This window comes from Homo sapiens, chromosome 6 (assembly GCF_000001405.40).
Source record: "Homo sapiens chromosome 6, GRCh38.p14 Primary Assembly".
Taxonomy (NCBI): Eukaryota; Metazoa; Chordata; class Mammalia; order Primates; family Hominidae; genus Homo; species Homo sapiens.
Window position 1 is genome coordinate 90,205,139 of NC_000006.12, and position 24,964 is coordinate 90,230,102.

A 24,964-nucleotide genomic window follows, 5' to 3' on the forward strand; every position below is an offset into this window, starting at 1 on the left:
AAGTCACCACTGGAAGAGGGTCCTTTAGTAGAAGAATTTCAACAGGGAAATGGGCTTTCTAAAGTCTAGAGATTCCATATGCTCTTTTCACAACCAAACCATCGAACAGGGCTGTCCAACTCTACCACAATCCATACAACAGGCCCACAATAACACACCTGTTTTTGTAGGCTCCGGAAACAACTCTCCCCTGTTTTAAATCCTTCAGTGGCTCATAGGATCTGGCCCTTGCCTCCTTCTCTGGGCTTATATTTGACCACCTTCCACTTGTGCAGCAGTTTCCAACCAAGGGGTAATTCTGTCCCCGTATGGGACATTGGGCAATAATCTGGGGACATTTTTGGTTGTCACAATTAGAGTGAAGGGAAGGGGATGCTACAAAAAATCCTAAAATTCAGAAGACAGTCTCTCACTGCAAAGAATTACCTGGTCCAAATACCAAGTGTCAAGGCTGAGAATCCCTGCTCCAGCCATACCAAACTCTTTGCTGTTCTCTGAGCACACCAGGCTTTCTCATATGCTTTTGTGCCTAAACACATTCCTTTACCTGGAATGCCTTGCCCCACCTTCCCTGTCCAGGAAATTACCATTTCCCATCTAGGATCCTACTCAAATGTCACCTCCTCTACACTGTCTTTCCCAGATTCCCCAGAGTTGGATGTTCCTTTTTCTGTGCCTCCAAAGCTTCTGGTACACACCTTGCTAGAACATACTCACTATGTTGACCCAAGATAGTCTGCACACGCTAAAGGCATCTCAAGTTGTATTCTTCGTTTATTCCCATAGGGCCCATCTGGTAATAAATCACCACTCACCAATTTAATCAGGGAATAAATCAAAATGGAAAAGATGCACCTTACACTCTCTTGGAACTATGTCTAAGGGATAACAGTGTCCCCAACATTAAAAACAACAGCAGTAAATATGTATCAAGTGCTTGTAATGTGGACAGGTACCATATTAAGCACTGGTATACGCAGTAACTCATTTCATCCTTGCAATAATCCTATCAGGTAGGTATCATTATTATCAGCATTTTACAGATGGGGAAATTGGGGAACCAAGAAGTCAGGCCACTTGTCTAGGGTCACTGACACTAGCATCCCAAAAAAGTGATATTTAGTCCCAGGAAATCTAGCCCCAGAGTCTCAATATTCCAATATTCATGCCAAGGCAGTTACACTAAAACCCAGTATTTCAGCCACTCAGAGGCCCCTGGCAAGTATAAATGACACCTCCAGAGGACTACGCAGCCAGAGTAGCCACCAGCACCTGTGACCCTGCTTGTGGGGGATCACACGACTCTCCAACTCTGAAATGCTTCTGGCAGGAGAAGCAACCTCTTCACATCATGGAAAGACATATGTACTCCAGAAAATCATGGTACCGTAAAGGAAATACAAGTGCTGATTCCTCAAAGTACCTCTTACCTTGTTCATGCTGCAGGGATGGGAGCAAGGGATCAGACATGTCACAGTGCGAGGAAGTTCTTGAAGATTCTCCTCATTCCTGGAGCCCTCACTTTCTGAAGCAGACAGCTGCACTGTGAATATAAACAAAGAAGAAATCCATCAGCTGGTGCCCAGGAAGGCATAGAGCACTGCCATGTCCAGTGGCACTTGCTGTCATGATGGCAATGATCCAAGTCTGCACTGTCCAACATGGTAGCCACTAGTCAGATGTGGCTATTATTGAGCACTTGAAAAGCAGCTAGTGCAAACGGGGGCTGCCAGGACTCAACAGCTAGAACTTTCACAGATTTCCTAGAAAGGCAGTGTACCATAAGGGAATTCAGGAGGTCAGTCTTCCATGGGCCAAATGAACTAAACAGTCCAATTCCCCCCAAACAGTCCAATTCCCCCCACCATGTTTTCATTCATGCTATTTATTCTTTACATGGCGTTTTTTGATTCATATGAATTACATTTTAGAGTAAAAGGGTCATTGTACAGTTTCAGGGTTCTTCTTTGTCTTTTTTGTTTTTGTTTTTGTTTTTTTGGCATAGAGTCTCATTCTGTTGCCCAGGTTTGAGTGCAGTGGCATGACCACGGCTCACTGCAGCCTCAACCTTCTCGGCTACAGTGATCCTCCCACCTCAGCCTCCCAAGCAGCTGGGGCTACAGGCGTGCACCACTATGTCCAGCTAATTTTTGTATTTTTTGAAGAGATAGGGTTTTGCCATGTTGCCCAAGCTGGTCTCAAACTCCTAAGCTCAAGTGATCCTCCTGCCTTAGCCTTCCAACATGCTGGGATTATGAGCCACCATACCTGGCCAGTTTCAAGGTTAATTTGTCAAATATTAGGGGAAAATATTTTAAAAATGACTTCAATTACTTAAATGGACTTGTAGCCTTTTCCTCTGAAAGGTGTTTACAGGTGGAACTGAGAGGAGAGCAAAATATTGTAAGGTTCCTGATACTCAATTTGTGTGTTATTTTTTTAAGTTGCATCTAGGAGGGATTTATATATCTGCACCTTCCCATAATACATGGAATCGGAGGTTTAACTGGAACTGCAGTGCTTTTAAAAATGAAAAATATACTATTTTTAATTATAATATATTAAGACTATAGAAAATGTTCAACAGGAAAAGAAAAAGGTACTTATAACCCCACAAGCCCACCATAACCATCTTTAGTTCTTAGTAATCAGCCTTTGTCTACACTGGAGAATAACATGTCTGCTAACTAAGTCCAGGACATGGAGAATTCCAAAGCTGTATTCCCCATATTAACATCTTTCACTGCTAAGAAAATGATTTTGCAATTTACATTTTCAAAGATAAACTCCTACTCCATGCACATTACTATTCTATGAACATAATATTACTACGTTCCTTTTATAAATCAGATGATAGAGAGAGGAAATTGCAAATCACTCCTTGGCTATTTGAAATACAGATTCCAAAAAAAATACCACATGCGGATTAAAGACTTAAATGTAAGATCTAAAACCATAAAAACCCTAGAAGAAAACCTAGGCAATACCATTCAGGACATAGGCATGGGCAAGGACTTCAGGACTAAAATACCAAAAGCAATGGCAACAAAAGCCAAAATTGACAAATGGGATCTAATTAAACTAAAGAGCTTCTGCACAGCAAAAGAAACTATCAGCAGAGTGAACAGGCAACCTACAGATGGGAGAAAGTTTTTGCAATCTACCCATCTGACAAAGGGCTAATACCCAGAATCTACAAAGAACTTAAACAAATTTACAAGAAAAAAAACAACCCCATCAAAAAGTGGGCAAAGGATATAGACAGACACTTCTCAAAAGAAGACATTAATGCAGCCAACAAACTTATGAAAAAATGCTCATCATCACTGGTCATTAGAGAAATGCAAATCAAAACCACAATGAGATACCACCTCACACCAGTTAGAATGGTGATCATTAAAAAGTCAGGAAACAACAGATGCTGGAGAGGATGTGGAGAAACAGGAACACTTCTACACTGTTGGTGGGAGTGTAAATTAGTTCAACCATTGTGGAAGACAGCGTGGTGATTCCTCAAGGATCTAGAACTAGAAATACCATTTGACTCAGCAATCCCATTACTGGGTATATACCCAAAGGATTATAAATCATTCTACCATAAAAACACATGCAGATATATGTTTATTGCAGCACTGTTCACAATAGCAAAGTCTTAGAACCAACCCAAATGCCCATCAATGATAGACTGGATAAATAAAATGTGGCACATATATACCATGGAATGCTATGCAGCCATAAAAAAGGATGAGTTCATGTCCTTTGCAGGGATATGGAGGAAACTGGAAACCATCATTCTCAGCAAAGTAACACAAGAAGGGAAAACTAAACACCGCATGTTCTTACTCATAAGTGGGAGTTGAACAATGAGAACATATGGACACAGGGAGGGGAACATCATACACCAGGGCCTGTCGGGGGGTGGGGGGCTGGGGGAGGGATAGCATTAGGAGAAATACCTTACGTAAATGATGAGTTGATGGGTGCAGCAAACCAACGTGGCACATGTATACCTATGTAATAAACCTGAATGTTGTGCACATGTATCCCAGAACTTAAAGTATAATAAAAAAGAAAATACCACATTCAGTCATAGCAATAGCATATTTTAACAATAATGTACAACACAGATCTTGGAATTCCAACTTTGTAGTACGAATACATCCAAACATCTCCACATGTACATGATGCCTGGGTAATCATGGCTTCAAAGTCAAGAAAATTCAATATCTAATTGTAATTGATCTTAAAGTGACTGAAAAAAATAATGCATGTAACTTTTACTCTTTCAATTTCCAGAAGCATGTGCTAATAAATTTCTTAGTTTTAAAGTAGAACTTTATACATGCTGTTTCCTTTTCAATGTATGTATCCATCCATGTAAAAACTACAGCCTAGCACTTAACTGGAAAGCTTGCCCAAATGCCTAGCAGAGATGCCTCATGTCACAATTCAATTTCTATGTACACATTGGTATCAACACAGGAAATGTGGGCACAAGAAGATAATAACAGACAAGGATTCTTGAACATCATTTCCCTGAGGAACCCCACCCAGCTCCAATCATGCCACAATCCCCGTACTCTCAGAACTTGGATAAATAGCTTGCACTAAACTGATTACGGATCCCTTCCTGCCCCCGCCCCAACTGTTCTTATGTCATTTTCATGTATGTTGTTTTACAACCGAAACAGGCTAAAAACCCTTTGAGGGAAACATCAGACACACAGAACGTTTTAAAATAAATATTACGATAGTTTTTTCTTTGCTGTCACTCACAGGGCCTAGGATGATACAGACTCTTAAGTGTGGGGTCTTAAAAACAATGTTAATAATTGTTGCAGCTGCCTTTGGAGTTCTTTTAAAAAGGAAAACCTCTTAATGCCAGGGTTGTAAATCTTTTAAAAAATATTAAGAATGTCATACAACTGTATAGTACCCCAAACTGTACAATGCACTTTTATATATTAATACTCTCATTTAATACTAATACCAATCTGGGTGGTAGTTTTCCTAATTTGGAAACCAGACACAGAGAGGTAAAAGAATTTTTCCTGGTTCTTGCTATAATAAGCAATAGACCCTGGACTAGAAGTGACTTCATTTCAAGACGCTATGGAAATAAAGCATGTGAAAGACCAGAAATAAAAAATAAACACAACACACACCCCAAAACAACACACACACACACACACACACACACACACACACACACGCACATGCACACACCAAGACCACCATTTAACAGAAAACGCCTCAGAGAACAGATGACAATTTTAGAAACTGGGTCAGTTCACTTCTGGACAGCAACCAAAAAGACTGGCCTTGTTCTATCAAGTACTTTCCATCTCCTTTGAAATCGAGGGAACCTGGTTGTTTTGCAGCCAATTCAGTTTATGAAGAAGCTTAGCAAAATCTACAGCTTAAAAAAGGAGACTGCATCTTAAATATAAAGCATTAGGGAAAAAGATACCTGAGTTACCATGGTGGAATCAAGAATGTTTTCTTTTTTAGTTTATTATTCAATGTTTCTTTTTATTGTTTTAAGAAGTTGGATTCCTCTAGTACTGAACAAAAGGAAAACTACAGACGTCTTTAAAGGGTGCCTTGAGAAAGTTAATCCCATAAGCCCGTGTGACTTCCACTCAGCTGATCCTAACAGTTGGTTCAATGGTCAATCTTAGACTTCTAAAAGGTTAATGAAACATAATTTGTCTTTCCAGGTGGATAGAAGCATGGGTAAGAAGAAAGGTGGTCCAGAATTACAGAATCCCAGCACTTTGTGAGGCTGAGACGGGTGGACCACTTGAAGTCAGGAGTACCAGCCTGGCCAACATGGAAAAACCTCATCTCTACTAAAAATACAAAAATTAGCTGGGCATGGTGGGGCAGGCCTGTAATCCCAGCTACTCAGGAGGCTGAGGCAGGAGAATAGCCTGAACCAGGAGGCAGAGGCACTGTAGCCTGGGTGACAGAGGGAGACTCCATCTCAAAAAAAAAAAAAAAAAAAAAAAGGCAGAGACAAAGTAAGTCTAAGAAGAAGAGAGAAATGACAAGAAAAGATGAAAGATATAAAGAATGGAGAAAAACAAAGGGCGGCAAGCAAACAAAGACACTCAGAGATAGGTTTGGTAACATGGCCAAGTGCCCCTCACCAGCCAGGTCCTCGCTATGGAAGAGACCCAGAGATTTGGGCTCCTGGTGACAATTCCACATCCTATGGCTTCTCTGAGGGTTATACTCTGATGTCTTGGGTGTCAGCAAATGGGAGTTGGAGAAAACACCAGGCGTACCTGATTCACCACTATTTATTTACCATCAACCTCCATCTACCATGGAGAGAAGCCTATTTTACCTGGATCACTGTTAATGTGGTATAGAGGTATGCTGAGAATAACATAAGCCACCTTTAATCCTATGCTCTTTAAAGAGAAGCTTAAAAGTGTCAAGGGCTGTGTGTGTGTGTGTGTGTGTGTGTGTGTGTGTGTGTGTGTGTGCTCTCCTGACCCTTGAAAATGCAACTAATACTGCCAAATACTGAATGGAATATGGTGAGTTGGGCTTTTCTCCCCACTCCAACTCCCACCCCCTTCTATGATGTCCATTCTAGAAGCCTTCAGTAATATATGTCAAAGCTGGGTAGCTCAGGCACTCCTGTGGGAGATAGATAGGCCAACAAGAGCAAGCAGGTCACTCTTCGCAGTGTTAAAGGTCTCACTAGCTTTTAGACATAACGTACCATGAGGCCAGTCTGTGGGATGGACTCTTGTTCCTACCCTTCCCACCACCACGCCCAGCAGCTTAGGCAGAGGGCTGGGGCATGAGGGCCTATGCCAGGCCCAAGAGCTTTTGGAGAAGGAGTAAGTGAAGTAATACAAGGTGAACCGGCTCTGAAGTCTAGAAAAAAATGCTCTTGCATCTAGGACTTAGAAACTTGGGAAATCAGATGGACAGGTGAGAGCAATATCCCAAATTTCCTCTACTCTATTTTAAGGGGTGGAGTAATTCACATGGCTTTGAAGTTAAGTCTGGACAATCTTCAACTGGAGACTTTCAACTGAAAAAATATAAGGTCATTTTATTACAGAAAGCTAATCCCTCCCTTCTACCATAGGGGGCATGGTGCTGGGATTGAAGGATCCAAAGGCAAAGAAACTAGACTCCTGCCCCCTTCCCCCAATGCATACACACCTTCTTTCCAAGTGGCTGGCTCATTCCCTGCTTCCTAAAGAAGAGGCAAGAGGAACAGAGTGGAGCTTGCCAAGGAGATTCCTGCAGGTCCCTCTCCATCCTCAAAGTTACAGCAGATGTGTGGCTGTGGTTCTCCATGACTTCAGTGTCCTCGCCACCCCACATGGAGGCAGCAAACACACTATAACATGGTTCTGCCCCAAGAGACCAGACGTTTGCCATTCTGCTTTGCTCCCCTGTGCGCTGCCTTCACAGCATACCATGGAAAACAGACATTCTAAGCCAGAACAACAAGAGCATCTTCCCATCAAGCATCAACAACAGCCTTCCTCCCCAAGGATAGGTTAGGTAATTTGAAAATGAATGTTCTGAAATTTTAACTAATATATGAGTTATGGTTCAATAGGAAATGGTAATAAAGAGGAGGAAACAAGAGGATTATAAATTATAAAAGAGAGACACATTGTTGGTAACACACGCACACAAATAGTCTGAGAGCCAGATGGGGAGAAACAGAGGCCAGGAAGGGCCAAGAGTGACAAGTGGTAGAGGGTCCATCACTTTCATACACCCACTTCTGGCACACAGGCTAGGGGGTTCTTGCACTTGGTCAAATGATAAGTCAGGATATCTAATCTTTAGATTCAGGGCTATCACTGTAAAATGTAAATCGCAGTCTCCAGTGATTTAGGACTATCTCAATTTAAAGGCACAACACAGAGGAGCCCCCAAGAGGTTACTTGGCCTGGCCCACTTCCCTTGCCTAAGTGACTATTTAAACCAGGGGTCACAAATTCAGATGACTGCAAGGGTCAAGAAAGAATGAGATGAGTGAAAGGTCAGGTCTGGGAAGACAGTGAGGAATGGGGCATCCGGGGAGTCTGCTACTCAGCTCTAGCCCCAGCAAAGCAGGAACAAGCCCCATGTGCCAAGAGCTTCTGATACTCAAGAAACGGAGTTGAGAGACTGTGTAAAATAATTTGCTGTTTTAATGTTGGAAACTCATGCTAATACTTTGGAAATTTTGTAGGAGTTGGGTCTGGTTGGCTAGTTTGCCTCTTCTACTGCACACCTTCCATGTCAGTCAGGGGATTCTTTGTTCCTGTAAACCTCCGGGAGAGAAAACTCTCTACCTGCCTCTTGGCCCCTCTGGGTTGTACTGCTAGGGCTTCACTGCCCACAGAAAGCCAGGGAGAAGAGTAGGCAAAGAGAGATAGGGGCCAAGTCAGTCTGAATATCAACTCCACCTCTCGGAATGTGATTTTTGGCAAGTTACTGGCTCTCTCTCAGTCTCTGTTCCTTTATCCCTAAAGCTGGGGGAAATTCTTTATATCTCTGGAGATTCTTTTGAGGATTGTTTTGAGCATTTCACAAGAAGAGATCTTGTCTATTTTGTACTAGTACCCAAATACCCAGCACCTATCCCGCTGCCTTACATACATACAGTAGGCACTCAATATATGCCAAATTTAATTATAATGTTTGGGAAGATCTCCTGTAAGTCTGGCACCAGTTGAACCTATTTCCTTTCATTCTCTCCTCTTCTGATGCTTTAATGTCAATATTCATATCTACTTCTCGCTTGGTCAGAATATTTTGAAATTAAACTTTATAGAAGTCCAAATTAAGAATAAATACTGAAGTTTTTTCTTAAGAAGCATGGCACACTTTTAGGTCAGCAAGGCACTATTTGGGTACTACTGGTGACAGCTTTTTGCGCACTTTAGAAGAAAAAAAACTAAACAAAAGAGATTTCATTGTCCTATTAATAAATTAAGGAATCATGCATTAAGTTTAGCATTCTCAACTCATGTTTGCCAATAGTGCACGTCACTGCAAAGGGAGTACACAGTGGCTATTCCAGGCAACTCTTGATCCATTTGTTCACTTTGGATTGAGAAGGCTGAATTATATTCATCTAGAACAAATGTTTACTAACCATGTCTTATTTACCTGGGTTTCTTTGATTTTATGCTGAAAGAATCCCAGACCCCTCCAAATAATTTCAACTTCCCTCTCCCTTGGCGGGGCGGGGGGAGGGGGTTGCTGTACAATTCAGGCAAACATATTTCCTATGATTTGGTGAGAAACTGAAATAACAGACAGCCTGATGGGTTACTTCAGAGTGATCCACTGCAATGGGAGCACTGTTAAAGAAGCGTTAAGGGGGCCAGCTATCTCTCCAATAAAAAGTTTCTAATTAAGGAACTAAAATATTCTCAAGAAGATCTTGGGGACAAGCTATAAGTAGGATGTTACCTTAATTGGGGCTAGTGCTTACAACTGAAACTGCTTAGCAAGCCAGAATGGGTTATATGCCTTGTTCCTCTTGAGAAGAAACTTTCATTAATCTGCAGAAGAAAACTCTAGTTGGCCTGAAGGTTCACTGTTAACCTCTGCTTTTCTGGGGCTTAGATTCTGTTCCTTTTTTTTTTTTTTTTTTTTTTTTTTCTGAGACAGGGTCTCACTCTGTCGCCCAGGCTGGAGTGGAGTGGTGCCATCTTGGCTCACTGAAGCCTCAACCTCCCAGGCTCAAGTGATTCTCCCACCTCAGCTTCCCAAGTAGCTGGGACTACAGGTGTGCACCACCCATGCCCAGATAATTTTTTGTAGAGACAGGGTTTTGCTATGTTGCATAGGCTGGTTTCAAACTCCTGGGCTCAAGTGATCCTCCTGTGTTGGCCTCCCAAATTGCTGGGATTACAGGCATGAGCCACTGTATCTGGCCATATTCTGTACTTATTATCAGCATCTCCTTAGTGCAGCTTATTCTTTTTGAGGGAGTACCATGTCCCAGGTTGTTAAGCCTCTCCACAGGGATCTAGTGTTTGCCTCCACTATGGCCTGAGGGCGTTCAATGCTCTCAAACCAGTTTCTGCCAAAACAGTTGAAGTTATACCATGCAGGTAGTAGTGTAACTATGAACCCCAGAGCTATTCAAACAGTGTAACCCTGGGTTTCCATCCCCCTGGTCTGTGCCCCAACACACAGACTTAAAGCCCCAAACAGACTGGGGAAAATCTTCTTGCCCCCCTTTCACAAGCAATTCCTGTGTGAGTATAGACACCATAGCCCCTAGAGCCTAGAGCCTACAGCTGGGTCTGAAACACTCTAAGGCCAGTGGCATCAATGTCTTCTGGCACCTAAGAATTTCCCTGTCCTGCTTTAAAGCTCGTATGTACTTGAAAATATTTAACCAATATAATACCTTAGGACTTTTTGGGGTGGGTGGTCAGAAGTAGGCCAGGCTTAGGACTTTTTGGGGTGGGTGGTCAGAAGTAGGCCAGGCTGCATGAGCTCAGTATACCATTCTGCCAGAATTGGGTTCCCTAAATGCAATTCTGCCATATTTAGGTTCCATATGTAGCCAATTCTAGCTGTCATTTAGGCTACAACTAGAATTATGTTCTTTGTAGCCTAAGCTAATTGCTGTGACTCTTTCACTAACTCATCCTCATTACAGAGTGCCATTGGGGGTAGAAAGTGCTTACGGGTAGCCCAGGCCTTGAGAAACCTACCCTTAGCCAGAAGCAGCAGGTCCAGGCAGTTACCCCAAGGAAACAGGTCACCTTCCTTCCCAAGGCTGCATTTTCCACACCCAAGTCTGCCCTCAGTTCTGTGGAAAGGAATCTGCCTTCCATTAACTTTTCCATAATTTAGAACTGGATGACTGCACACTGATGTTTTAGTAGAATGAGAGAAGCAAAGACAGCAAGAAATGCAACAAGGGCACAACCACCTTAACACATCAGGGAGGTCTGCAGGGAGTCACTGCGTTCTCCGACAGCAAGCAGCCAAGAGAACAGCCACAGAAAGCAGTTCCAGCAGCTGACCCTGGGGTCCTCTCTGATCTCATTACAGCAGTTGACACTAGTCCTCACAAAACAAACAGAGGAAATTTATGCTTGCCTTAGCTGTGGAAAGCTCCACATTCCTTATTAACGAGAGTTTCAGCTTCTGAGACCACAGCCGCTGGAATGGGGAGGAGGTCAGCTGTGCTCCCAAGAAAGAACTGTGGCTGCTGCCTTGCCCTCTTTCTGGGGCTGGATATACAGGCAGCGAGCCTGGGGCCTAGGCTGTCTGCTCAGGTGACTGAGGGGAAGTTCCCTTTCTGCTAATGTCGACTTCCCTCGGCTCAGACGGTGGGGTCATTTCCTCTTAAACAGCACTGGGAAACTCACTGTAAGGGAGTCCTGAGGGGATCCACCTGCTAAGGTCGCAATTCCAAGAGAGAGGTTGTTCTGCATAACCATACTCAAAAGTACTCTTGCCTGCACCTTCAAAAACTTTACTTAACTTGGAATTCCAACTTAAAACATTATTTCATATCCTTTAATTCAATCTTAGAAGTAACTGAGCAGCCAGCTCATGACGTAAAGCGTGAGCTTCTAAACCAGAGTAAGAAATGTGGAGCAGAAGTTCTGAACCAGAGTGGTTTTGTCTCCCAGGGGACATCTGGCAATGCTGTAGACATTTTTGGTTGTCATGACCCGGGGGAGGGTGCTACTGGCATCTAGTGGGTGAGACCAATGATGCTACTGAAGATCCTACCACGTACAGGACACACCCCATAATAAAGTATTACTGGTCCAAAATGTCAATAGTGCTGAGATTGGGAAATCCTGACGGGGAGGGAACATTCAAGGATATGGGTAGACTTAAAATCATGCCAACTCATAATCACATTATAATAATGTGGCACCATGCAACTTGGGGTCCCCAAAATGTAAACAATTAACAACCATAAAAATTTACCAGTTCTCTCCTTGAGCGAAGTAAAAGCTGTAACTTACACAGAGTAAGACCATCAGAGTTGCCTGGAAGAAGTGGAACAGCTTCAGTGTTGGACTATGTTATCATCAATATCATCAGTGCCTTGTTTACTCCAGGTCAAGGTGTGATCTGAGTGTCTACTATCAAAATTCAGTGGTAGCTATTAACAGAAGGAGTTTATACGTGAAGTTCTATGGTCACTAAAACCGTCTAAATAACCTAAGAATATCTAGCTCTGGAAAAAACTGCAAAATGTTTCAACTTTTAAAATACCAACAAAATATGAGGAACAATGTTGATGTTGACCTACATTCTATCTAGGGTGGCTAAAAGAAATAGCTGCACAATAGGGTTCTAAATAAATGCAGAATTGAAGAAATGCATCATAACAAAGATAATCAGGGTGACTATTTTGAAATGCTCCCCATTTCTGTTTTTCTTTCTGTTTTCAAATATTCCCTCTCATCCACGCGGCATATTTTCATTACATTTGTTGTAAGAATGTACATTTAGATAATCTACTCACTATTCTTTTATGCATTCTTTTACTCCAGCCAAAAAGGGAAAAAGTCCCTATCCAAACAAAGCTAATGCATGTAAGCAAATTTGAAGGAAAAAAAGAATTTCATGAATGAGCGGGAGACAATTTTTTAATGGAATGTTTTAAAGGCTTGTGGTATAAACAGTAAACAAAATTGATTCACTAACATTAATACTGTTTGCCATGATGTGAGAGTTGGTCTTTTTTTTTAATGCCCCAGAAGCTAAAGGAAAATAAATACTGTGGTAGGGAAAAATAATACCTTACTTGGCATTTTGAAGTCATTGCTCAATCCTTCTTGAGCAAGAAAACCATAGTAATGACTTTGTTTTACCTACCGCAATTATGGTACACCTCGCAGCAATCCTTCACAATATTTTCCTCCCTCTGTTCAAGTCCTGCTAAATAATCTCTGGAAACCATTAACTAAGAGTACGGTTCCAATTTTCCTGTTCTCCCTCCTCTGCTGCCTCAGTGTCATGTTGGCGTCAGGACAAAGCAAACTTGTATGACATCACAGAGCAAACTCATTTTCTGTAAACCAGCCCCTTGGTAGTTTACCGCTACTGGAACCCAACGCTGTCAACAGTGTGGTCTTTGTTTGGTGGGTGTTGCTCTAAAAATTTTTTTAAAGTTTCCCAACACCTTCTTCTTTTAAACAGAGGCAAGCTGCTGGAGGCGCCGTCCTCGCCTGGCCCGCCCCACTCTGTAAACTAGACATTACCTTATACACAAATGACTCTAGGCATTCCTCAGTCTAGCTGCCTCACTGCAAAATTCCTATGCTCCTCAGCAGCAGGGCAGCGCACATTCCCCTGGCTTCCCCTCTTTCCTCTTCCCCCACCCTCCTCTTTTTCTTTTCTTTCTTTTTTTTTTTTTTAATTTCCACTGCCTCACTGTGTTTTTGTGTAAATGATCTCACATGACTCAACAAATCCATCTGCCTGAAGCAGGCCAAGTCTGGAGCCCTCCCAGGAGGGAGGAGAAGAATTGCTTTGTGGAAAGGACCTGGAGCTCTGCCCTTTCTCTGGCTCGAATTACCCGCCTGTCAGGCCTGACGGATTTGGCTAAAAATAAAAGGAAACGGGCCGTGAAAAGCAGATGAATGGGCTCAGCAGTTCCTTAGATAACACAGGCCTGCTGTTGCCCAAAGCTCCCCAAACAGAAACTTCAAATGCAGGGCCTCTGAGTCAGTGATGTGGCTTCCAGGTGAACGAGGCCTGTCAAATCCACTGGAGTTGGGGGACATGGCCTGGGCTGTGAATTTCGGTTTCCTTTCCGTGTGTGTGTGTGTGTGTGTGTGTGTGTGTGTGTGTGACACAGAGAGTGAGAGTGCACGCAAGAGAGATTGAGAGAGTGAGAGAACCAGTCTAGTATTAAAAGGTTCTCAGAAAACAGTAGACTTCAGTGGAGTGAAGGCTTGTAAAAAAAAGAAAAAAAATTGTTGTTTCCACTACAAAATTATCCTTCTCCCCACCTCCAACACCAGACATTTTCAGCCTCCCTATGATGTCACTTCTCTGTTTAGAGCCAGCAAAGAGCTAAAAGTCTTTCTTGTAAGTGTATGCCCAGCGCCTGCAGTGGGTATTAAGCACTTAGGTTGGCAATGTAATGACACACTGTAACAATCTGTAATATGAGGCAGTCAGCAAAGCCCTGGCTCTGAAAGCTATTTCTCCCGACCATTAACCATATGTTTGGCTCCTCAGATAGCCAAGCGGGTGTTCCAGCTTACCATCTGGTTTCTATCCACACAAGCAACTGCAAAGCACAGGCTATGTCCCTCTGGAGCTGTGTGTTTCTTTTTCTCTCTCTTTTCCGCTCTTCTCTTCCCCTTTCCTCCTCCCAGCTCCTTTGGTTCCTTCTGCTAAAGAATTCTCTGCCATTCATCACGTACAAAGAAAACTTTACCTGACATGGCAGCGGCAGAGCCATTAAGAATGCACAGCTGTATTGTAAACACGCCAGAGGGCCATTTACCATCCGCGGAATCTGTACAAGTCGGGCTCTACCCCTTCCTCATCTACTGAGTGCTGACACTTGATCCAGCATGTTAAAAACAGGTACATTCTTGAGAGATCCAGGGGTTGCTGTGGTGCCCTTCATACTCACTTCATATTCTGGGAGTGGGGCTTTAAAACACATACACACACACACACACACACACACACACACGCTCCCGAAGTTTGCCTCTGCATTCAATCTGCCTGACGTCAGTCTCACACAGGATGACATACCACCACTGCAAATAACCAACTTAACTACAGGTTTTGATTCTTTTTTCTGCACTAAGGGTTTGATCCCAAGTGTGTATTTTTCTGAGTTTTTTTTTTTCCGCCTAAACAGCCCACATTGAAAGAGATGACACTTCAGAAGAATAAGAACATGCAGCCGCTTGTAACAAATTGACAACCTGCAAAACTTATGCTTATTTACATCTGCACTTTTTAATAGTACACAGCAATGAAATGGAACCTACTATCAGAATTTATAGAATTTTTTCACAATGTTTCCAAAGTATTTACCCCAGAGTTTCTCCGCTACAGGATTTAAGGTCCTTTATAACTCTATACATTTTTAAATGTATGAAGGAAGATGTATTTGATATATAGAAATTAGGTCACTTTTCTTCCTGTCCCCCTAAGAATAAGGTCTGCATTAGCAGCCCATTTTACCGAATTAGGAAATTAAAGTTAATTCTTTCCCACACACTGAAAAAAATAAGGGCTGGTTTCTAACATATCAAGAACAAAAGAAAGAATATCATTAAAAAGTGACTAACCAGAATGTCAGATTTTATCAATGTGGCAGAGCTACAGAGGATTTGTCAGGGGAGGACTGTTTATTCAGGCTAACAAGGGTGCCAGGAAGGCCACTACCTATGTAAACTTCTTAAACCCACAGCCCTTGTCAGTCCTCATTTCCATGATCTGAAATAGGTGTTGTGTTAGCTATTTCTATCAATAAGGGACATTAAAATTCTGCTGCATGTAGGTTTTTAGAGAGTGACAGAAAAGGAAATTTTTAATTTCAGAAGCCTTAGGAAAATTGTCCACAGATGATGGCGTCTATTAAATGCTGTTTGAGGTCTCAAAACCATAATACAAACTTTAAATTGCATTAGCTTGACTGCCAAGAAAAACAATAACAGCATAGTTAATAAAAAGAAAGAAAAATTAGCAATTTAAAACTTCAGTATTTTCATAGTTAACTACCTGGTTTTCTAAGCACTGCAGAATCATTTTATTACAGGTATTTGTGCTTTTCATAAATACTGGTGCCTGGGCCCCTTTCCTCCAGCTCAATTATACAAGGATCCCTGAGTGGGGAGGTATTTTTGAAAAGCTTCCCAATTTTGTGCAACTAAAGTTGAGAAGTGTTGCCTTATGTGAACTAACATGATAGTAGAAACCATCTCATCAAAATAAAAATGAAACCTTTGGTATAGAAATGTAAATGAAATTTAGGAATAGAACAGTAGCTTTCCAAACTTGTTCTGAAGTGAAATCTTCAATCAAACAAAATCTTATATGAAATCCCTATAAGCAAGATAGGTAAAAAGCAGTAATTTATACTGTCCTTTTATACTTTTAGTCTGTACAATATTCATGGATTTTTTAAGTTCAAAGTTATAATTTTTTAATCATAAGCCACCCAGTGAGAAAAAGGAGGCCATTTTATTGAACACAAAACCTGAAATTGAGGTTAAGGCTGAAAGGTCCAGTCCTATACACCTCAGCATCTAATTTTTTCCATGGCCAATGGTTAAGATGATCAAGGTCTGATGTATATAAAAATAGCAGTGTGTATAGCAGGATGAAAATTAGTTCATAAGTTAATGTAATAAACATCCATTAAGTGCTTACTACACACGAGGTACTGCCCTGTGGTCATCAGAGAAATAAGTTGCAGCCTTTCCCTTGAGGAGTCTACTTAAGACGACACCTAATGGCAGAACAGCAAGACAAATGCAATAATGGAGGTGCTGAGAGACACTATATGGGAAGGAGTGGCTAATTCTGCTTGAGGAAATAGGGCGTGACATCACCAGCAAGGGACAATTAAGTCAGGTCCTAAAAGTGTGAGCAGGATTTTTGACACCTAAAAAAGGAGGGACATTTCAGAAAGAAGAAACTGAATGTGAAAAAAATTAAAACCCGTAAGTATAAACAGGGTTGGTGAGTCTGGGGGTTATGAGAAATTCTGCAAGGGACAGGAAGGGCTGGGAGATGAGGCCAAAGAGGTAACTGAGTCCAGGTTATAAGAAACTCTAAATGTCATGATATAGCTTAGACCAGTGCTGGCCAACAGAAACACAAGGTGAACTAAACCTGTAATTTAAAACTTTTTAATAACCACATTAAACAAATAAAAAGAGAGAAATTTACTTAATATTATAGAAAAAAGTATTATTTTAACATGCTATCAATATAAAAAGTATTAATGTGCTATTTTACAAATTTTGTTCATACTGAGTCTTTGAAACAGGGTGTGGATTCTACACTTACGGCACATCTCAATTTGGACAAGCCACATTTTAAGAGCTCAACAGCCACCTGTGGCTAGTGACTATTATATTTGGAAAGCACAGGTTTAGCCCTTATTTTGCAGGCAGTGCAGACCAAAGGATATGCTTGGTTTTATTTCATGAGACAATGGCAACAATGTGAAGAAGCAGAAACATTGGGTCTGGGAGAAGGCTTCTGAGGTGGCTTCCACAGTCCATGCAAGGGACACAGAGAAGAACAAGGCTCAGAGCAAGTAGGATGGCATGGAAGAGTCAGAGTCAGAAGATACTTGTAAAAGGAATTCAGAAAACTTTAGAAGACTGTATGTGAGGGATCAAGTGAAGGACTCACAGAACCATTACATTTTTTTCATGCTGAAATTTGTGCTTAGAATGAAAGCTCACTGATTGTGTATTTAATATGAAGTTTCATTGTTCCTTTTGAGCTTGCTTCCTTCTGCAGTAGAATGCAGTGTCACTTATGTAGGATATAGTAAATTCCTCTTCAAAGAACCAATATGGTACGTTCAGCATGTTCAGCTCTCCTGTTCTTTGTTCTCCATTTTAAAGTTTAAAACTTCCTCGTTCTTTATGTCTCCTTGCCCCTAGTTTCAGTAAACAACCCCCTCTTAGCCTCTATCATCTGCTCTTAGTCATCCTTAGTCACCTGCTCTGTCCTTAGTCAACTGCTCTGTCCTTAGTCATCCTTAGTCACCTGCACTGTCCTTAGTCATCCTCTGTCACCTGCTCTCAAACAGTCCTTCCTGCCGAAACTACTCAACCCGCCACTCTGGCGCGCACCCCTGCTCTCTTTAAAACAGCCAATCGGAATTAGCTTAGACTGTGTGGTCCAACCCTAGCCAATAGGGGAAAGACACAGCAGTAGGGACTAGCTGCGTTAAGGATAAGACCCACTTCCCCTTCCTTGTCCAGTGTGCTCTCGCCATTGCTCCATCCATGAGACGCACCCTTCTATAGAAGCAAATTGCCTTGCTGAGAAAACTTTTGCCTGGGTGCTATTTTCACTTGGTGGCACCGAGCATTTACTTCCAACACTTAATAAACATGTGCTGAGTACCCACCACATGTTAGGCAACGCTGGGCACTGGGGAAGCAAAGCTACGACATAATTCTTACTTTCAAAGAGCTCAAATACAGTGTAGGAGACAAAACAAATTACAACAGAGCATTAAGTAAATTAATAAACAGATATGCAAAGAGGCCTACAAAATGTTCCATAATGTATAACTTAGAACTGTTTCATATAATGTATTCAATGGCACTTGTGAGATGGAGTGGGGCTTTCAGATAGTAAGGCTTCTATCAGCTGACTTTTTTGAGACAGGGCCTCACTGCAGTTGCCCAGGCTGGAGTGCAGTGGCGTGATCTCAGCTCACTGCAGCCTCGACCTCCTGGGCTCAGGTGATTCTCTCACCTCAGCCTCCCAAGTAGCTGGGACTACAGGTGCACACCACTACACCCAGCTAATTTTTTTTTTGTTTTTTTAAGTAGAGATAGGGTTTTGCCATGTTGCCCAGGATGGTCTTGAAAACATGGACTCAAGCAATCCACCTGCCCTGAGCTCCCAAAATGCTGGGATTACAGGTATGAGCCACCAGGCTCAGCCTCAATTGATTTTTAAAAGTGATCCAGAATATGATTTACTTCTGTGTCTGTATTTGGTTGCACTCACTGTATTAAGAGAATCCTGATACTCCTAAATACAGATAACACTATCTGAATCTCTGCTCTCAAAACTCAAATTTTCAGACAAATCTCTCGCTATTTGCTACTCTTACTACTTACTATCTGAAACTGAGAAACGAAGCTGACATGAACATAACAAGTTCAAATTCCTTTGCACTGGAATTTACAATGGGAAATTTTGGCACCTGAATTCTGGAAATGAGCAGATTTGAATTGTAAGGCACAGTTGTATTGGAAATTATAACAGTTCTTTAGCATTTCATTTGATAATCTCATAATATGCCTCAAAACTAATCTAAAAGCTTGGAGAAAATGCAGCAGTCAAGATTTTATTTCAAATTTTAATCACTAATGATAATTTGACAACTATTTAAGGTAAAAGAGTATCCAAAATGTAGAGTGGGTAGACATGATCCTCTAACAGAATGTACATCACTAAGTGATGTGTGTGGTGTTCACTTATTGTACAACTAGCCATTAATCCACACAGAAGCCTCCATCCCACAGAGGCTCTGAAACGCTGCCTGGCATGTCATCAAGTGTGCTGAATATGTGTGACAAGAGGAATTTGCCTGTTCAATTTATGATCAGGCTGGAATATGAAAAATACTGGGATGGAAGTTCCTAATCAATGATTCATTTATTTATAAGAAGTTCAAATATGTAAGCCAAAATAGTGGAAAACACTATTTCAAGGTTGACTTGGCAGTCCAATTCAATGTGCTGGTGGTCCTAATGTGTTAAAATTTGGTAGGTAGCACATTTGTGTGCATTTTCTTTTATTATAGTTATAAAACATAGTTTAAAATATATTAAAATGAAATGCAAATTAGATGTTTGCAGAGCCTCTGAAGTATCTCCAGGGAACTTCTGCAGACCAGAGTTTGAAGATCACTGGCTTAGGGACTTTGAGGTTAAAATGTAAATGGAAGAACAACAATTTGGTGCACCTGCTATTTTAAGGCTCATCAAGTCATTCCCAAACTTCAGCCCAGGGCAGAAACCATTCCTCATTATCCTAAGAGCAGTGAAGCTGAGAAACAAAACTGCAGAAAGTGTTTTCAGATTCTCTGGTGAGTTAGAATTTAAAAGGCTGGGACCAAAATTTGAAATACATTATTCATATCTCAATGTTGTTCATCCATTAATTCATTCAACAATTTACTGAGCACCTGCCACGAGGCACTGTTCTAGAGGCTTGAAATACATCATAACAACAACAACAACAACAACAACAACAACAAACAAGGTTGGGCATGCTGGCTCACACCTGTAATCCCAGCACTTTCTGAGGCCGAGGCGGGTGGGTCACTTGAGCCCAGGAGTTCAAGACCAGCTTGGGCAACATGGCAAAACTCTCTACTAAAATACAAAAAATTAGCTGGGCATGGTGGTGCATGCCTGTAGTCCCAGCTACTCGGGAGGCTGATGGGGGAGAATCACCCAAGCCCAGGCCCGGGAGTTCGAGGCTGCAGTGAGCTGTGATCATGCCACTGCACTCCAGTCTGGATAATTGGAGTGATACCCTGTTTTTTAAAAAAATACAGACAAAATTCCCTATCTTTGTGAAATTTAGAGTTAGTGGGGAGAGACAGACGATAATCACAAATAAGAAACTTGTTGTAAGGTAACAGGTGACAGGTGCACTGAAAAAAATTGGGAGTCAGGCAAACACCACATGTTCACACTTATACGTGGGAGCTGAACAATGAGAACGCATGGACACAGGGAAGGGAACAACGCATACTGGAGCCTGTTAGAGGGGGGTGGGGAGGGAGAGCATCAGGATAAATAGCTAATGCATTTGGGACTTAATACCTAGGTGATAGGTTGATAGGTGCAGCAAACCACCATGCCACACATTTACCTATGTAACAAACCTGCACATCCTGCACGTGTATCCTGGAACTTAAATAAATAAAAATTGGAGTCAGGAATTAGAACTGTGGTGGAGGAGAAAGGCTGCAATTTTACATAGGATAGTCAGGGTGTGCCTTACTGAGAGAAAGAAAAAGAGGATCAGAGATCTGGAGGGGAGAGGTAAACCAAGAGGCCATCAGTTCAAGCAGTGGTTCTCCAAGCGGGGTCCTAAGGCCACCAGCATTACCCTGAAACTTGTCACTAGCTCAGAAATGCTAGAGAGGCACCCAGTGGTCTGTTTTTGCAGACTCTCCAGGTGATTCTGATGTGCTGTAAAGTTTGAGAACCACTGCCCTACAGAAAAGGCCCTAAAATAGGAGTGGGTCTAGGATGTTCTACAGAAAAAGGGGTGAAACCAGGCATCTGGAGGTGAGAGCCAGGAGGACGGACGGTGGTGGCCACAGCATGAATAGCTTTATGATCACAGCAAGGCTTTGGCTCAGAAAAATGTGGAGCTATGAAGGACTTTTCTTCAGGAGCCACACAGCCTACATTTCAAAATGTTCATGTTGGCTGTTTGGTTGAGTGGAAGCACTGCATGACTTGCCTCAAGAGGAGACTCCCTGACTGCTCAACTCCATTTTGGGCAGTGGTATGCTGCTAAATGTTTAAAAACAGACTCTGAGGGTGAGGAGCACCAATTTGTAGTGTTTGATTTCCATGGTGTAAACTCTCCCACCATGGCTGATTTCAAGCTGCCAGTATGACTCACTGAACATGGAGTTGTGAAGAGATGTGCATAAACGACTCACAATACTGACTCTAGTCCCAACGTCACTGTTACCACTGAGAACATTTAAAAATAAGGGAGAATTCTGTAAATCTGATTGGAAATGTGAATGCTATTTTATAAGTCTATATAAATGCAATGTCTTCTATTGGTCTATTACTGTCAATCAAACACAGAGCCCAAGTCCTTAGAATTTTTTTTTTTTAAGAGGCAGGGTCTCACTCTGTCATCCAGGCTGGAGGGCAATGGTGCAATCACAGCTCATTGCAGCCTCAAACTCCTGAAAAGTTAATACAACAATAATATATTAACTTCATTTAGAGAAAACACCATTAGTATTAAATTTCAGCTTCCTTTATTCAAAAACATTTGTTATTGAATTTCTCTTCTCTTACTACAATTAACATCTTGCACTCTCAAAAAGTATGCATTGACTAGGATTTGCCATGCATAGTATGTGAGATTGCTGCTCCAAAGGCTCACATAAATCCAAGACAGGCCATCAAGGAATGTGCGTGAACTGCAAGAATAAAAGTTTGAATCTATCTGAAGATGAAATGAAGTTTGAATAAGGCCTTCATCCATTTGATTTGCCATTAAGAAACTTTTCTTAGCCTAATGGAATATCCCTACTTCTGTCAATGAGATTTCAGTTTGTGAATAACATTTTCAAAGTGCAGCATCTTCTGTCTACAAAAAGACATTCTATGAACTCTTAATACACATAAAGTGTTTGCAACTACCAGGAGTCTGCTCCACGCATTCTCCCGTCTGCATGATCCCTCGGGCGGTATACCACCCACACTCAGACCCCGGGCAGCCAGATCAGCAAATGTGCACAAGCCTGCACTCCTGTCAAACAATGGGGTCTTTCAGGCCTTACAATCTTGTGAAGAAACAGGCTAAAACGTCATGGGAAAAATTAGGAAATATCAGAGGAAAACAGCTCACAAAATGAGGGGTGGAACCACTTGCTCACATGTTCTAATTTCTGAACAAAGAGAAACAACAGTGACAGCCCCCTGCCTGCTCTGACCCCTCCATTTCAAAAGAGAGGCATCCTAACCCCTTTTTCTTTTCTTGGAGATTACAGCAGCAAGATGTAGACAGACAGAATTAGAAATTCTTAAACCTAAAGAAGCAGAGTTAATTTCAAAAGCTTTATCCTCAAGAGAAGCATAACTAACCCATCTTACCAGCCTTGTTTGGTGATCTGAAATATCAACAAAATTACAGACTAGAAATCAACTAGACTTCAACAACCACATAAAGGAAAACAGAAACTCCTGATATATCCCTTTAAAAAAAAAAAAGCTCTTCCAAAGTATTCTTGGTATTAAATCTCATGCAATAGCTAGCTCTATCCACCTCAGCAATCCTTCCTCATTAACTGCTACACCCAGTTTATACTTTTCATACCAGCCTAGCTAGCTGGCCTAGTGGCCTGCAACACTCCATTTGCCATCCCCAGCCTTTATCAAGAATTGTTCCACTTGTAAATTACCTGTCTCTTTTTATCCACAAAATAACATCTCTGTTTAAAAATCTATTTAAGACTTACTGCAAAAATGATTTCTAGATTAATCCAGTACATTTGCAAACTTGCCAACAAATTTACACTTCTGCTTTAATATACTTTTATAATCCATCTATATTTTCCAGTTGATTACATTAATCTGACTTTACTAAAATCTCTGAGGATAAAGTCTGAGTCAATTCTTCTTTACATAATCTCCAACTTTCCACCATATCACTATCTATCTGTAAGACGCTATCAGCCGTTAAACACTACAGGCACATCAGCTGCTGTCTCCCAATAGTGAGGCTGATGGTCAGCCATTTTGGGAAAAGAACCATAGGTGGATTATTACTATAATGCATTATGTGGAAGAGGTGTTTATTTTGCTCCTGGAAGAAAAAAAGCAACATGTATTAAAATCATAAAAATGTTTTTAGGTTGGGCGTGGTGGCTCACGCCTGTAATCCCAGCACTTTTTGGGAGGTCAAGGCAGGCGGATTGCTTGAGACCAGGAGTTCAAGACCAGCCTGGGCAGCACAGTGAAAAGAAACTTTGTCTCTACTAAAATTACAAAAATTAGCCAGGCTTGGTGGCACACCAAGCTATTCTGGAGGCTGAGGCAGGAGAATTGCTTGAACCCAGGAGGTGGAGGGGGCAGTGAGCCGAGATGGCACCACTGCACTCCAGCCTGGGTGACAGCAAGACACTGTCTCAAGAAAAAACAGTTTTAAAAGGTAAAACAACATAAAAAGAAATATTCTATAGTGGAAATAAGAGAGTCAAATGAGGCTGAGAACTTTACAAAGGGATCTTACAGACATGTCGCCAATATCACTGCATGAGCCTAAGTATAAGAACAACCTTTGGGGAGAAACCATCATTTGACAGTGAGGTACAATTCCAAGTCAGGTAGTGAAATGGGTGGAATTAAACTCAAATTAATCCTGCCAGCTGAAACGCAAGAGACACTGTCAGAGAGTTAAAAAGTGAGTTCTATCCATGAGGTGATTCCACAGTCTTCTCAAGTCAACACATCTGTGAACTCACAGACCAAGTTCTTAAACCACTGTTCAAACTCTGCTACACATCAGAATCACCTGGAGAGCTTTACAAACTCCCATTGCCGAGGTCACATCCCATACTAATAAAATCAGAGGCTGGGCGGTGGCTCACGCCTGTAATCCTAGCACTTTGGGAGGCCGAGGCAGGCGGATGACCTGAGGTCGGGAGTTCAAGACCAGCCTGGCCAACATGGTGAAACCCCGTCTATACTAAAAATACAAAAAATTAGCCGGGTGCAGTGGCCAGCGCCTGTAATCCCAGCTACTCTGGAGGCTGAGGCCAGAGAATTGCTTGAACTTGGGAGGCGGAGGTTGCGGCGAGCAGAGATCATGCCACTGCACTCCAACCTGGGCTACACAGCGAGACTTTGTCTCAAAAAAAAAAAGAAAAAAAAAATGTCTGGGGTGGAAGCCAGGCCATCTGTAGCTCTTAAAGATCCCCAGGAGATTCTAATGTGCATCAGAGTTTTAGAACCACTGTCCTAGACTCTGTCAGTACAAGATTTTGCTCAATGAGGAAAAAGCACGATAACTTACATTTAAGTTGGTGACAGGTAAAAGCAAAGGTTACCTCTGAAACTTTTAAGTAGGAAATCACTGCTTTGGCTGCAACAAGAAGTTTGTGCTCTGATTCTCATAATTGGTGTAGCATACAGTCTTTAAACAGCCCTAAATGAACTTGCGGCTTTGCGATTTAGACTAGGAGAGAGAAACTAGGCATGGTGGTAGATATGAGCCCAGATAACAACTGAATTGTTGCCCATTGTGCCGTCGAGATATTTGGCTTGAGAGCCTACAGCCTGGATGCAAGTCCTAGGTCAGTCATCTGCTGGCTGTAGAGCTACAGGCAACTCTCCAACAACATAACCCTGGTATTCCATCTGAGGCAGTGGTTCCCAGCCCTGGCTGCATATTAGCAAACCTGGGTCTGGGACGCAATCCCCGACATTCTGACTGATCCAGAATGGGGCCCCAAGATCCTTATATTTCTAAAGTTCCCCAGGTGTGGTTATGTCAT

At 41.9% G+C, this 24,964-nt stretch overlaps 1 protein-coding gene across 2 annotated transcripts in view, besides 2 other annotated features; it reads right to left on the bottom strand.

The window, feature by feature from the left end:
- BACH2 (BACH transcriptional regulator 2) overlaps positions 1 to 24,964 on the bottom strand; it is a 370,316-nt gene that overhangs the window by 278,611 nt on the left and 66,741 nt on the right. For both annotated transcript variants that reach the window (NM_001170794.2, NM_021813.4), the window contains one exon: positions 1,431 to 1,543. The gene's annotated coding sequence lies outside the window, so the exon portion shown is untranslated. The remainder of the gene's footprint in view (positions 1 to 1,430; positions 1,544 to 24,964) is intronic.
- Positions 12,571 to 13,229: an enhancer, noted in NCBI's record as "H3K27ac hESC enhancer chr6:90927428-90928086 (GRCh37/hg19 assembly coordinates)". NCBI's record gives its function as "activates a minimal SCP1, AML or CMV promoter by ChIP-STARR-seq in primed H9 embryonic stem cells {active_cell/tissue: H9 hESC(primed)}" and the evidence as "EXISTENCE:reporter gene assay evidence [ECO:0000049][PMID:30033119]".
- Positions 16,928 to 18,127: an enhancer, noted in NCBI's record as "P300/CBP strongly-dependent group 1 enhancer chr6:90931785-90932984 (GRCh37/hg19 assembly coordinates)". NCBI's record gives its function as "activates an origin of replication core promoter dependent on BRD2, BRD4, P300/CBP, MED14 and CDK7 cofactors, with strong dependence on P300/CBP, by STARR-seq in HCT116 cells {active_cell/tissue: HCT116}" and the evidence as "EXISTENCE:reporter gene assay evidence [ECO:0000049][PMID:35650434]".